Here is a 14,704-nt window from a genome sequence, read left to right on the forward strand (position 1 = left end):
TTACCAGTGCCTAAGGGTTTTATTTACTGAAATATTATGACCAATAAGATTAGTATCCTTTCATCACTCTTAAATCTTATAAAGTTTAAACCCCACCACTAGGCAAAATCATTTTGCCTGTTCAAAAGCAAAGCAAAACAAAAATGCCCAAAACTACCATCACGAACAAACAGCATACTGGTATTATTGGAAAACTCAGGAAATTTATAGATTGATTTAGGGAGAATTGACTTTTTAATATTGAGTCAGTTTTTCCCTAAAGTAGGATATTTAAATCTTTTTAAATTACGATATACCTTTCCATTTATTAAATCATTTATGTTTCCTTGGCAAATGAGATTTTTCGTTCATATATATATATATATATATAAAATATATATATATTTTTTTGAGACGGAGTCTCGCTCTGTCACCCAGGGTGGAATGCAGTGGTGTGATCTCAGCTCACTGCAACCTCTGCCTCCCAGGTTCAAGAGATTCCCCTGCCTCAGCCTCCCGAGTAGCTGGGACTACAAGCACGTGCCACCATGCCCGGCTAATTTTTTTGTGTTTTTAGTAGAGACGGGGTTTCACTGTGTTAGCCGGGATGGTCTCCATCTCCTGACCTCTTGATCCGCCTGCCTCAGCCTCCCAAAGTGCTGCAATTACAGGCATGAGCCACCGCACTGGTCCGAAAACTGTTGACATTTTTTACCAATAATTCAATCTGTCAATTTATTGAATTTTTCTATCGTTTATAACCATTTTTTAGTTGATTCTCTTGGGGTTTCCACAGGTACACCCATCTCACTTGTGAATAATGACTATTTTGCCTCTTCCTTTCCAATTTTTATGCTTTTTACTTTGTTATCTTATGTCTCTGCATTACTACTTCTAGAGCAATTATTTAATCGCTTCAATTATTGATGACGTGGAATTTTTTCCATTCTAATGATATTGCAGTGAACATTTTAGAAATGTTCACTGCAGCATCATTAGAATGGAAAACAGCAGTTTGGTCATTTTGTTAAGATAGGTTTCTACAAGTGTAATTTGTTGGGTCAGAAAGAATAATTTTAAAAAGCTTTTAGGGCCGGGTGTGGTGACTCACGCCTGTAATCTCAACACTTTGCCTGTAGTCCCAGCTACTGGGGAGGCTGAGGCAGGAGAATCACTTGAATCTGGGAGGCGGAGGTTGCAGTGAGCCGAGACTGCACCACTGCACTCCAGCCTGGGCAGCAGAGCGAGACTGTGTCTCAAAAATAAAATAATAAAATAAATAAAGCTTTTAGAACATGGTATATTAGTTTTTCATAAGGTTCTCCTGGTGACCATCATCACCTTACTTCCACTGTCCACAATCTGAAGGCTCCCAGCACAGTTGCCCTCTTTCCTCTCCTTCATCCAGGCACTTTCTCTTTGCTGTCCACCAAGGGAGGGGTCCCTGAACCCTGGGCCACAGACCAGTAGTGGTCTGTGGCCTGTTAAGAGCTAGGCTGGACAGCAGGAGGCGAACACCAGGCAAACAAGCAAAGTGTCATCTGTGTTTACAGCTGCTCCCCATTGCTCACATTACCACCTGAGCTCCACCTCCTGTGAGATCAGCAGTGGCATTAGATTCTCAGAGAAGCATGAACCTTATTTGCACTGCACCTGTGAGGGATCTAGGTTGCATGCTCTTTAGGAGAATCTAATGCCTGATGAGCTGTCACTGTCTCCCATCACTCCCAGGTGGAACCATCTAGTTGCAGGAAAACAAGTTCAGGGCTCCCACTGATTCTACATTATGGTGAGTTGTATATTTCATTATGTATTACTATGTATTAATAATAGAAATAAAATGCACAATAAATGTAATGCACTTGAATCTTCCCAAAACCATCCTCCCTACCCCAATCTGTGGAAAAATTATCTTCCACGAAACCAATCCCTGTTGCCAAAAAGGTTAGGGACAGCTACATGAAGGGGATACCTGGAAATCCAAATGAAGCCTCCCCAAATCAAACCAAAGTCAAATACAGAAACAAACTTCCTTCTCAAGTAACACAATAAACAATTTGGAGATGAAATTCAATGATTTGGACAGTATTTGCTCTTTGCTCACTCTACTTGTGAATCATCCCAGGTTCCCTTTTGCCCTCATTCTTCACATTGTAAAAGATACTAAGTCCAGTAGATTATACGTTAACTTCTCTCCTATTCATCCTGTAGTTTCTATCCCCACTGTCACTGCCCTAGTTCAGGAACTCATCCTCTCACACCTGGACCACTATAATACTAACTGATTTGATCACTTCTGCTCAATCCTTTCTTTACTTCTATTCAGGACCCTTTAATGGCAGGAAAACTTAGGATGACCACCTTCTATCCATCTAGCTTATTTTTCTCTCCCCACTTATCTACTACCCTCTAGCTTTTCCCCACTATTTGCAGTTCCCTGACAACTTGCAATTTCAAAGTCTCTGTGCTTTGAACTGCGCCATCCAGCTGCAGGAATCTCCTCCTTAGCACCCCAAACCTCCAACAAAATCCTTTTCTACCCTATAAGAGCCAGTTGAAGGGCCACCTCCCTGGTGAAACATTTCCCATTCCACCCTTCAACCCCACTCCAAACCCATTATCAGAGGGCTATCCATTGATGGAGTATGATGATATCTCTTGAGGTTGTTTTTGAGCCCAGTTGCCAGGGCTCTTACATAAGTGGAACAAAGACTGATGAAAATTGGCAGGGACTGGCTCTTCCTTTTTAGTGAATTGTATTTGTTTAACATGACTTTGGGGTTATTCCATACATATCTATTTCCACCATCAGTATAAACACAGAATTGGCATTGCAGAAGGGGCCTCTAACAAGAGCCGGGGGAGGGATGCTTAAAAGGTAAGAGTTGACTCTGCGGTCTCCCTGCTCTCACATGCCTCAGGGAACTTGCCTTGCTGACTGTTAATGATCACCTTAGGCCCTGAAGCACTATGATGAGAGACCCCCAGTGACTGTTGCAACTTCAGACAAAGCTTCTGGTTCTCCTCCCTTTTTTTTTTTTTTTTTTTTTTTTGGTGGGAGAGAGATTGAGAATTTTCGTTTGCTAGTTTGCTAGAAGGCAAAAGAGAGCTGGAAAAGAGGGGGTGGTCTTACATGTCATCTAATCCAGCTCTTCACTTCCAGAAAGACCTGAGGAACTAACCAGTACCTCCTGTTTCTAAAGGTCTATGGGAATAAAAACTCTTTGTTCATCCAAGCCAGCACTTGTCAGCCCTCATCGGCAAGGAGTTCCTAGGTCTCACTTCCTATCCCTACCTGGTGCTCACCTCCTCATCTCCTCTGTTTCCCATGAACAAGAAGAACAGCTGGTCAGTTGCCTCTAGGGTGACTGGCTTAATATCTCTCATTTGCTGGGAATAATAGTGAGCAAGAGTTTTCCCTGAGTGAAGCGTGTTGCCTGCTAACTAATACCAGAAGAGCCTCCCTCTGATTCATGTTCTGCAAAAGTGGGTGAGGTAAGGGGAGTGGAGAGAGTCTTGAATGTAAGTGCAGCACACCCAGTTCCTTGAGGAAATGGGAAAGGTGTTTCCATCACACACCTGGGCAATGAATTTTGCTTCCTACAGCACAGCTGCCTTCTGCAAACCATTCCAAATCAAACCAATTTATTCCAAATTCCACTGCAATATCTGTTAATATCTAGTGAGATGTTCAAAGTAAGTTAACCATCTACTAGTTATGGGGGTTCTCTTTTTTTATTTCATCGAGAAACACAGACAAAACTGCTAAGATATGTTTCTGTTGCTAGACCTTAGTCTTATCACAGTTTGAAACTGTAGAAAATCAATTACGTGCTTTGAATTACTCCTCTTCTTGGCGCAAAAGCATTTCTTCATTCTTTCGGGATAGTGAACACTTTGCAACATCTACCACTAACAGCCTGTTAGGATTCTCTGCTAAATTAATGTAGTACAGATAAAGCAAACAGAAGGCTGGTAGAATGCTAAACATCTCCTCTTTCCTCTGTGGCTGGCTCCTTGCAGCTTGGGACCATTCTGCCTTGCTGCTACAACATCTGGACAGCATTCAAGGTTGTTTCTCAAGGACACAAGCTTGCACCTCCGGTGAATTTCAACTTTCAACATCTCTCTGGCTCTAATCTATATTTAATGTTTCATGACTGGTAGTCAAAGAAGCTTCAGCTAAATATCAGGTTGGAATGAAAATGATCCTTGGGAGAACATTCGCTTCCAGCGTGCGCCAGCAAAGTGTCTGTGACAGAGGCTTTCCCCAGAGATTTGTTGCCCATTCTTTTGCAGTAATAATAATTATGCCTTATGATTGCTGTGCCTACATAATCAAAGATCGCTTCATCAAATGTGATCCCCAGGGGAAACTGCCTCTACTCCTAACCGGATGTCAGTCACAGAGAGCAGCACCCTTAGGGATCCCCAATCTTTTGCTTGCCCTTTTCAGTACTGTGTTGTTAGCATTGTGTTTCTTCATATTCTTCTCAATGCAAATGATGTGTAAATCATGCCCTCCAGAAGGCACATGTGGTGAGGGGGAGAGGGTGGGGAGGGAGGTGGGGGCTGGTGTATTCTCTTCCAGCCCCCTCCTTAACCTACTACAGGGATTTCTCACATGGAGCATAATTACATCTGTGCCATATGGGCTCATTTATATTCTATAACAGGTTAAGCTAATACGACTCAGAAATATGCTAAAAATACCTCAAAGTATTCTAGAGCTGTCAAAATACTTGTCATTTCTTGCTCACCCATTTGATTGCTAGTGTTTTTATTTTTGTTGGGAGATTTGAAGAGCTAAGAAAGCATGCTGGTGTGCTGGTGTCCAGTCTATAAATACAGTTTAATTTCCTGTACTGTTATAATACTTGGGTTTGCAAAAAAAAAAAATCTTTCTTTATAATCCTGGAATGGCCCCAAGACATGGGCACTGAAGCCCCTATACTTGTAGATTTTAATTTCCCAAGAGGTAGAAAATACAGATTTCAGATGTGCGGTTTTGTCAGCTTTAGAATATTTCTTGTCTTTGTTTGATGTAATTATTCATTGTGATAGAGAAACACCTGCAGCGGGCTGACATACCATAGAAACATGCTGCTTGAGTTAGTTATAAGAGTTTGTTTGGATGTCAGACAAATCTTGTCAAGATTTTACATGTGGCATGATAATGAGAAGTACAATCTGTAATGAGTAATGAGTTCGACAATGATTTACAAGGGCATGTTGGGTTATTTTTATGCAGTGGTTAAAGTCCATCAACATACTAATTTCTACCATCAGTTTGGAAAATTGGTAGGTCATGCTTGTGTAGGCTTTTAACCTAATGGCCTGTTTATGTAATTAATTTTTTCATTATTATTACCTTAACATATTATGGAATTTTAAAAATTAGTCTTGGGAACAGAATAGCAAGCACAAATATTTTACTTTTCCATGCTTGACAAGCAACATTTCCAAGGTTTATAAGGTGCTAATCACATCAGCCATCAGTGAAACACACCATTTAACTGAAAACTAAACTCATACAAAGCCATACTTTTCTTATTTGCTAATAACTGTTCTATGCGAGCTGGTTGATAGAGTGGTTAAGACTACCTGGGCTCCAATCTCAATTCTGCCACTTGCTAGCTTATTATCTCGGCAAATGCCTTAATTTTTCTAGTGCTCAGTTCCCCCAACTGTAAAATGAGCCTAATAACCATAGCTATCCCCAAGGGATTGTGGAAAGTATAAAACAAGATAATATAGTAAATCTTTAGGCACAATGTCTAACACTTAGTAATCACTTCGTAAGTATTAGTTATTATCACTGGTATTGATTTTGGTTTTAACATAAACAGCTTTTAATATAATTATATGACTCTTTTAATTAAAAAATACATTTTACCAAAATCATGTTAGTTGCACAAACTTCCATTTATCTTAGATCATGCAGGCCAGAGATTCTTGACATTTTTGAATCACATAACCAAGTTCTTACTTCATTTAGAATCAGTAGGTATTTCATGGCTGGCTTAGGAAGAAAGGGAAAAATTCAGTGTTAATGTACCAAAGACAGGTTTTTCTATTTAAAGTATTATTTTGAAATATTTGTACCTTAAGATTATTCAGGACACAATGTATTTGAACTCCTGCAATTGAAATGTTACATTTAAATAAGAAGGAATTCTAGTTTATAGTAAGCAAATGATTGAGCCAGTAACTATAGCCAAGTTTTGAAAATTTGCTTCTTTAAATCCTTAGTAAAGAGCGATTTGAATACTGTGAAGGTAGATGTGTGTTTAACACTCTACTGTAGATACATGTACACAAGAGAATCTAATTTTGAAGTCTTCATTTAAGTGTTTCTATTCAGCCTCTTGACCTTGGAGAGAGTCATGTGCCTTCCTAGTTACAAGATTGGGCTCTAGATCAGGGGTCCCCAAACACCAGGGCCACACAACAGCAGGGGAGTTGGGCTGGGGGGCAAGGGAGAGAAGGTTCATCTGTTTTTTACAGCCACTCCCCATTGCTCACATTACTGTTTGAGCTCCACCTCCTATCAGATCAGCAGTGGCATTAGATTAGATTCTCACAGGAGGGCAAACCCTGTTGTAAATTGTGCATATGAGGGATCTAGGCTGCATACCCCTTATGAGAATCTAATGCCTGATGATCTGTCACTGTCTCCCATCACTCCCATATGGAACTGTCTAGTTGCAGGAAAACAAGCTCAGGGCTCCCACTAATTCTACTTTATGGAGAGTTGTATAATTATTTCATTATATATTACAATGTAATAATAGTAGGCACAAAGTGCACAATAAATGGAATGTGCTTGAATTATCCCAAAACCATCTTCTCACTCCACCCCCGCCACCCCTCCTCTGCTCTCCAGTCCATGGAAAAATTGTCTTCCATAATACCAGTCCCTGGTGCCAAAAATGTTGAGGACCACTGCTCTAGATGACCTCTCAGGCCTTTCCCTCATCTTCAGGCTAGTTATACTACCATAAAAGTGGAATAAAGTTCCTATGGTAAGAAGGGCTATAAGTTGCCTAGTCACTGCACACTTTGTATGTTTGAATTGAAGGTCTAATGTAAATCTGATGTAAATATAGGGATCTTCTTTTTCACTCATCTTGGCTTTGTGGTTAGGGATGGGGCGATGGCAAAGCGAGATACAGGCAGCCTTTTACAAATGAGCATCCCCACCCCGTGTTCTGGCCAGGCTGTAGGCAGTAGGTTTTCAGACAAGAGTGGCAAGGATTTGAAATTAGTAGCCAGGGAAATAGCAGTGTGATTTCAGATTCTCATGACTTAGGAAATTCCATGCTTAAAAGCGATATTTTTTCAGCTTTTAGACAATGTTTTCTTTCCTCTCAAAATTACTCCAGACTTTTCTGCAGAGATTACAACATGAACTTTCAATGGTTAAAATTCAGCCACATTTTCTTTTTAGTTTTCTTGTGTCAGTTGTATTGTAAATTGGTTTAAATTAAAAATAAAAAAATTTCCAAAATGATAAATGGGATTTTTCCTCAGACCGAGTCAGCATGAGATTAATGCTTTCACAATTTTGTACAATTTCAAATCAAATGTCATGTGATTCAATCCTAAATCTTTTCTTATATTATCTTCCCTAACCTATTTCTTTATTGTCAACATGAGACTACAGAGGATGTTAGAGAGAAGGACAGGTAGAAATCTACTTGATTGAGAGTCAAGGAGGGGGGGGGTCTTTTTCTCTGTGGAGTTTCTTTTAATAGGTCAGGGATAAAAACCTTTAGGAAAAGCTGAAACTAAAAGTGAAACATAAGACGACCACTAGGTTCACAAACACAAACATGTATTTTGTTCCCGGGGTGGAGAGAAGGGTGCGTTTGTGTGTATTTACTTTTACTTTGAACCAGACTTAATTACAAATTTAAAATTAACTGACATTCTCTTTAAATATGCTTACTTCAGTGTACCTTACCAAAGGACAAAGACCCCACAGTTGAAGCCTATCCGCTCAACTTATCCCTGAATGGGAGAAGCATCTACTAAAGCAATCTAAGTTATAACCATTCTAGTTTTCCATGCCAGATTTGGATGCTTAAGCTTTAGAAACATAGCTACTGTTTTCCCATATTTTCTGTAAAGGACATGTGTCCTCTCTAGAAGGAAAGCTTACTTCAAATTTGAACATCTCCATTTGGAGAACTTTTGGACAGAAACACAACTTTCTAGAGTTTCAATTGACTGAAAAGAAAACTCTTATATGGAAAAAATACCGTCTGAAGATGAAAGAAAATTCAGAAATTGGCTGTAAAACTGTGTCACATCTCACATTACCTAAGTGAACTAACACACAGAAGACAGTGGGAAATCTGGGAGCTGTGACTAAATTATTTATTTTTAAAAATGCTCTTATGAAATTTAATGCACCAGAGATAATATGTTTACTCTCTTTTGTTGTTTTTTGTTAATGATTTTTTCCCTATTTTTTTGTAGGAAATTTAGAAAATAATAAAGATACATAGAAAACAATAAATTTCACCCAGAGATAAATACCACTGACATTTTATTTCCTCAAGTCTTTTCTCTATGCACAAAGATATATTTAAGAAAATGGAATTGTACTACATATAAAATTAAATATCTTGGATTCCCTACTCCCTTAGCATTTTTTAATCATTTCTTCATGTCTTTAACTATTTTTTCCAAAATTCTGTTTTTAATGACTGTATAATATTTCATTGCACAGTTGTAGCATAACTTTGTTTTCCTTAATTTACCTTTTGGGGTTTTAACTTCTTGGTGATCTCCATATGCATGAATCATCTTTCTAGTGTCTTGTGATCTTAGATCCCCGACCTCTTTTTCCCTCATTGTGTGGCCTCCCCTCTGCAGTCCCCACTCCCATGGGCAGGCCTTGCTAGACCATGCTATTTCGTTCTCTCAATGTCATGTATTACATGTGATCAACATTGCCCGACTTTCTCTCTAATACTCTAACCTGACTGGGACCTCCAATTCTTCTACCACCCTTTCACTGTCCATCACCACTTCACGTCCTTACTCCCCTCCATACCCAGCTGAATTCCATCCTCAATAATCACTCTCAATTGCACACACCTTCAAGGAAAAAAATTTCCTTGCTGCTTTTCTACTTTTTTTAATGCTTGTTTGAAAAAAACCACAGGTTTTTAAAATTAAACTCTCTGCATTCTCTGTATCTGCACCTGGGTAACTTACTGGAGCTGGAGAAGAAAAGAACACAACCATGCTGATTGATCTCACTTTAAATTCATAAGCACAAACTCAAGTGAACCCGTCCTGATTCCACTAATCACCCTACGCCTCTTTAGTCCATTTGTTCACCCGTTCACTGACTATTTGATATTCTCTTTTTTCTCCTCGAATCTCTGACATTTCCTCCTCCCATCTGTATTGTCTTAGCTGATGATATTGCATTCTACTTCACTGAGAAAACTGAAGCAATTAGAAGAGAACTTCCCCTGACCCTTATAATCACATGTCCACACTCATTCCATCTGCCTCTCATCTGCTACATTCCCACCTGCTATCATAGATAAGGTCTCCATTTTGCTAACTAAAGCCAGTCCCTCCAGCCATGACTAGTTCCCATCCGGGACACTGCCTTAGCAATTATCTTTTCTGACTCCTATATTATCACAATGTTTCTTCTCTACTGGATCATTCCCAGTAGCTTACAGACATGCTGTTATTCTCCCATCTTTCCCTACAAGTTATCACCTCATTTCTTTGGATTGCTTGCCTCAAAACTTGTTGAAAGGGATGTCTTTAGTAGCCATTTCTGATTCCTCTCCTTTATTATCTTCTGAATCCTCCCCAGTCTGGCTTTTGCTTCCCTCGACTCCTTCACTGAAACTGCTCTTGTCAAGATCACTAGTGACTTCCATGTTGCTAACTGCAGTGGCCAATTCTCACTTCTCATTTTACTTGACCCGTCTTCGTTTGGCTCTGGGACAACACACTGTCTTGAATTTCCTCCTATCTTCCTAGCTGCTTCTTCTTTGTCTCATTTGCTGACTTCTCCTTTTCTACCTTCCCTCTGAATGTTGATCTCCAGTGCTCAGTTCTTGATTCTCTTTTCTTCTCTATCTTTACTTCCTTTTTTAGGCGATTTCATCTAATCTCATGGCTTTAAATACCACTTAAATGCCTAAGACTCCTAAATTTACCTCTTCATCCCACACCTCTCTCCTGACTCCAGGCTCACATACAGTTATCTACTAACGTCTTTATTTGGTTGTCTCAATTGAATATGTCAAAAACAGAACTCCCAATATGGCCCCCTCACTTGTTCTTCTGGCGGCCACTCCCATCTCAATTGATGGAAACACCATCTTCCCAGGGCTCAGGTCACAACCTTGAGATCATTCTTGACTCATAGTTTTCTCATGTTCCATATCCAATTCATCAGAAAATCTCTTGCTCTACCTTCATCCTATATCCATAACATGACTATTTCTCAGTGCTACCTCTGCTGCCGCCTTGGTCTGCACCACCGTCATCAGCTTCCTAACCTTTCTGTTTCTATCTTTGTTCTACCCACCATCTAGTCTCAGCACAGAAGCCAGAGTGACCCTTTTAAACCTAAATATGGACCCAGTGGGGGGGCTTGCTGGCTTGCGCCTGTAATCTCAACACTTTTGGAGGCTGAGGCAGGAGGATTGCTTGAAGCCAGGAGTTTGAGATCAGCCAGGGTAACATAGGGAGACCCTCTCTCTACAAACAAAATTAAAAATTAGCCAGACATGGTAGTGTGCACCTGTAGTCCCAGCAACTTAGGTGGCTGAGGTAGGAGGATCACTTGTGCCCAGGAATTCTAGACTGCAGTGAGCTAGAATTATACCACTATACTCCAGCTTGGACAACAGAGTGAGACCCTGTCTCAAACAAACAAACAAAAAACCAAAAATACCCTACTTCTCTGCTCAGAATTTTGTAACAGCTCCCAGTTTATTCAGAGTAAAAGCCAAAGTCCTTACAATGGTCTGCTAGGCCCTAAGTGTTCGGATCCCAGTTACCTGTCTGATCCTTTTTCTCTTTGCCCAATTTGCCCTGCTCTAGCCACATTGGCCTCCTTGTTGTTCCTCAAACATGCCAGACAAACTCCCCTCTCAGGCCCTTTGCATTGGCTGTTACTTTAGCCTGAAAAGCTCTTCAGTCTTTATGCTAATACCACTTCTCAATAAGCCTGCTCTGCCTCTTTATGCTATATTGTGCCCCAACACCTCCTGCTCTCCTATTATAGTACCTTCCTTCTTCTTTTCCTCCCCATATTATATGGAAACGCTTCTTGTATTGTATAAAAAGCTTCTAACAAGCTACATAATTTATTTATTTATTATGCTTGTGTCTATTATCAGCATTCCTATCTCAAACTTAAGCTTTCACAGTGTCAGGGTCTTCGTTTTTTGTTCACTGAGATATTCTAAACACTGAGAACAATGTCTGACACATAGTAAGTATTCAATAAATATTTGTTCAAAAACCTTCAATAAATAATAAGCCTATTTATATAGAAAAGGCAAACATTTAAAGGCACGTTAACCTTCTTACTTCAGTCTATATTTGTTTTGAAAAACCTGCCTTCTGAAGTGAACTATAATTCCTAACTTTGGTTTGAATCCCCTCACATGAAGCTTCATGTTTCTATTCTTTAGAGAACATAACTTTCAAAAATGTTTTGAGGATGAATAAAATGAGATAGAATAACCAAGCAAGCCAAATAGCTAAGTGAAAAATTAGAACAACCATCTGGATATTTCAGTTACAAGAATTTCAGTGGTGAACTCCTGTTGAGCAGTGGAATATATAACTCCCAGCAGAAATACTTTAATTTGTGGATTGGAGGATAAAGAGTGGTGGGTTGGAATGGGTATACTGGGGTGGGGTTGGGGATTAGGAGTGAAAAGGAAGTGGAAAGTAAAATGGTAGGAAGATGGCTGTGCTAGCAAAGGCATCAAATACCTAACTCGCATAAATGACCATGCCTATATGTTACAGGTTGGAAATGCCTACGTTTTTTAAACAGATAAATTGCACACATTTACTGTACAGCATAAAAAGGATGACATTTATCTTTTCCTTGGGTCTGAAATGTATTTCTATCACTTGGCTGGTTTGTTTTTAACTCACACTGAAAACCGAACTGTAAGAAGTTTGCCTAAACTTCTCCCCCACCCCATGTTATACAGCCTCAGCTCATGCTATTACTCCAAATACAATAATCTGTTGGGAAAAATCAGGGTGATTTTAAAGAGATCATTTTCAAGTATGAAAGCATTTGAAACCAGTTGGGAAGACAGGAGGGGCAATAGCTAAACAAATACCTGCATTAGTCAAGGAGCACTCAGAAACAGGGCTCGACCTGCTGGGAGAGGATTTTGCTAAGGAAAGCCTGTACTCACAGAAGAAGGAAGCAAAACGGCCTCATAGGAAACCAGTCATGTGTGTGTACACTGTCTGCAGCCATTTTCAGTCACTTTGGTTTGAATCACCTCACATGAAGCTTCATGTTTCTATTCTTCAGAGAAAATAACTTGATTTAGAGAAAAAAACCTGATCAGTTTTAATCAGAGTTTCCTATTTGTATGTTTTTCCAGTTTACTTCTAGTGTTGAGAAAAATTATTATTTAATGGTGAGCATAGGGTAGGATGGGGCAGGAGTAGGGGATGGGGGAACTCTCACAAAGTAATCACTCTCCTTCCTTAATATTGCCATGTTTTACTTATTTAGGAGAAATAAAAAGAAAGTAAAAGAAGTCATTATAAGGCCCCAACAAGGATATTCAAGTCTCAGAAGGGCAGCAGGTAGCCAGGGGAGCAGAGTGCTGGTTTTTTAGGAGAACAGAGAAAACTGGCCAGTAGCAGAAGAGAGACAGGAATGCTAGGATGGGTGGATGTTGGAGACGCTGACATTTACAACAGAATAGTGATACAATGCTTTATTGAGAAGGGAGCACTTGAGCCAAGACCTAAAGGGAGTGGGGCCATAAGTGATGGGTAGCAAAGACCCTGGAATGGGGACTTACATGGTGGGTTTGAATAATTTCAAGGATGCTATGTGGCTGGAGTTGAGTGACCCTGCTTTATTTCTCCCTGTAACATTCAGCACCGTCTGACGTGTGATACATTTTCTTATTCATTTGTTCTTTTTCTATATCCCCAGCACTTAGAATGGTGCCTAGAACATAGTAGCTGCTGTAAGGGTGCAGTGCTTTGCAACCAAGATCTTCTTCAAAATGAAGACTCCTGTGAGTGCTGCCAAAAGACAGTTCTCACCTATCAGCCCTCATTGGAGATTGCCTATGGCCAAAATTACACAAGACCTGATCAAGCAAAGGTATTGTGAAGATTGACTGAGCAGAGATATAAAAGCCTGGACACCATGCCCCAACTTGGGACAACTCTGAAGGGCCACAAGTTCCAACACTTCCCATGGAGTTGCCTGAACCCTTTGCTGAGACCACATCAAAGCTCAACTTTTCCCTTTGCCCAGTTTTGCTTCCTTTCACTCCTTTTCACAGGTATTGATTTCAAGAGCCCTCCCTGTTTAATGTGCTCTGTCTCATAGCCTGCTGCTCAGAGAACTCTCAAATCTCTTCTTTCTCTGGTCCACTGAGAATAACTGCAAACCCCAAATCCTTCCCTCAGTTTCAAACACATTTCAATCAATATCTTTATGGGGTCTGAGAGGTTGAATTATTTTATCTGACTCTTTATTATTTCCTGTGTCTACATTCTATGCCTGGTAGTTTTGCATTTTCTGCAACTAAAGATGGAATGTCCTTCTCAGCCTCTTAATTTTGGGCTGGACTATGTGTTTTGCTTTGGCTAATAGAATGTTAGCAGATGTGATGCAAAAAGCAGTTTGAAAAGTGCTTGCGTGGTTGGGCTTGCCATTTGGTGTGCCTCTGCCATCACCATGAGAGGAATGTACCCTGAATAACTCAATGGGACCAAAAAGGATGAAAGACATGTGAGGAAGACCCAGACCTGCAGACCTGCAATGTGAAGCAAAACCTGCCCAGCTGACTCAAACATCTGGAGAAACAAAATAATTTTTTTCAGTCACTGAATTTTGAAGTTGTTTGTAATACACCATTGTGGCAAAGGCTAATTGCTGCAAGATGTAATTCTTACCACAGTAAAGTCAAATGTTTACATCTTTATGCAAAGTAGTTTAGCTACTTGTCCCAATTGTCTCCATTCCAGAGTAGCATTTTAGCTTTAACTTTGCATAATGAAAATGCATGTTAGAATTATTTCTCATAATGAAAAGAGAAGTCTTCTTATAAAGGTGAATTTTTTCTCTATCTATGGAGGTAGAAAACCTATAACTACTTTTAAAGGGCAACTTTCTTATTTCTGAAAAAATATGTGAAAGCTTAGCTGTGCATTGTGCTTCAGACGAAAATCCAGATTTACCAAGAAGACAAATTAGTGAGTGATTGGTTTTCTTTCTGATCTTTCTGATGCAGTATTTATCCATAAATATGCCCTTCATTTATAAAAATATTTTTTGGAATAATGATTCTCTTAGTATGTCTGTCTCCTGCCACTGGATTCTATGTCTCCTAAGAATGGACAGGAACAGCATCCTGTTCATCTTATGTCTCCAGTAGCAATTCCAGGGCCTGGCTCATTGTAATTGGTCAACAGTTGCTTGTTGAGTTTCTTTATAATTAAATGCAGATCC

General features: G+C 39.8%; 1 annotated feature.

Moving 5' to 3' along the window:
* Positions 3,545–5,550: an enhancer, noted in NCBI's record as "heart enhancer 20". NCBI's record gives its function as "activates a minimal c-fos promoter by transgenic reporter assays in zebrafish embryonic heart {active_cell/tissue: heart(embryonic)}" and the evidence as "EXISTENCE:transgenic organism evidence [ECO:0001131][PMID:20075146]".

Source organism: Homo sapiens, chromosome 7 (genome assembly GCF_000001405.40).
Source record: "Homo sapiens chromosome 7, GRCh38.p14 Primary Assembly".
NCBI classification, from domain to species: Eukaryota; Metazoa; Chordata; class Mammalia; order Primates; family Hominidae; genus Homo; species Homo sapiens.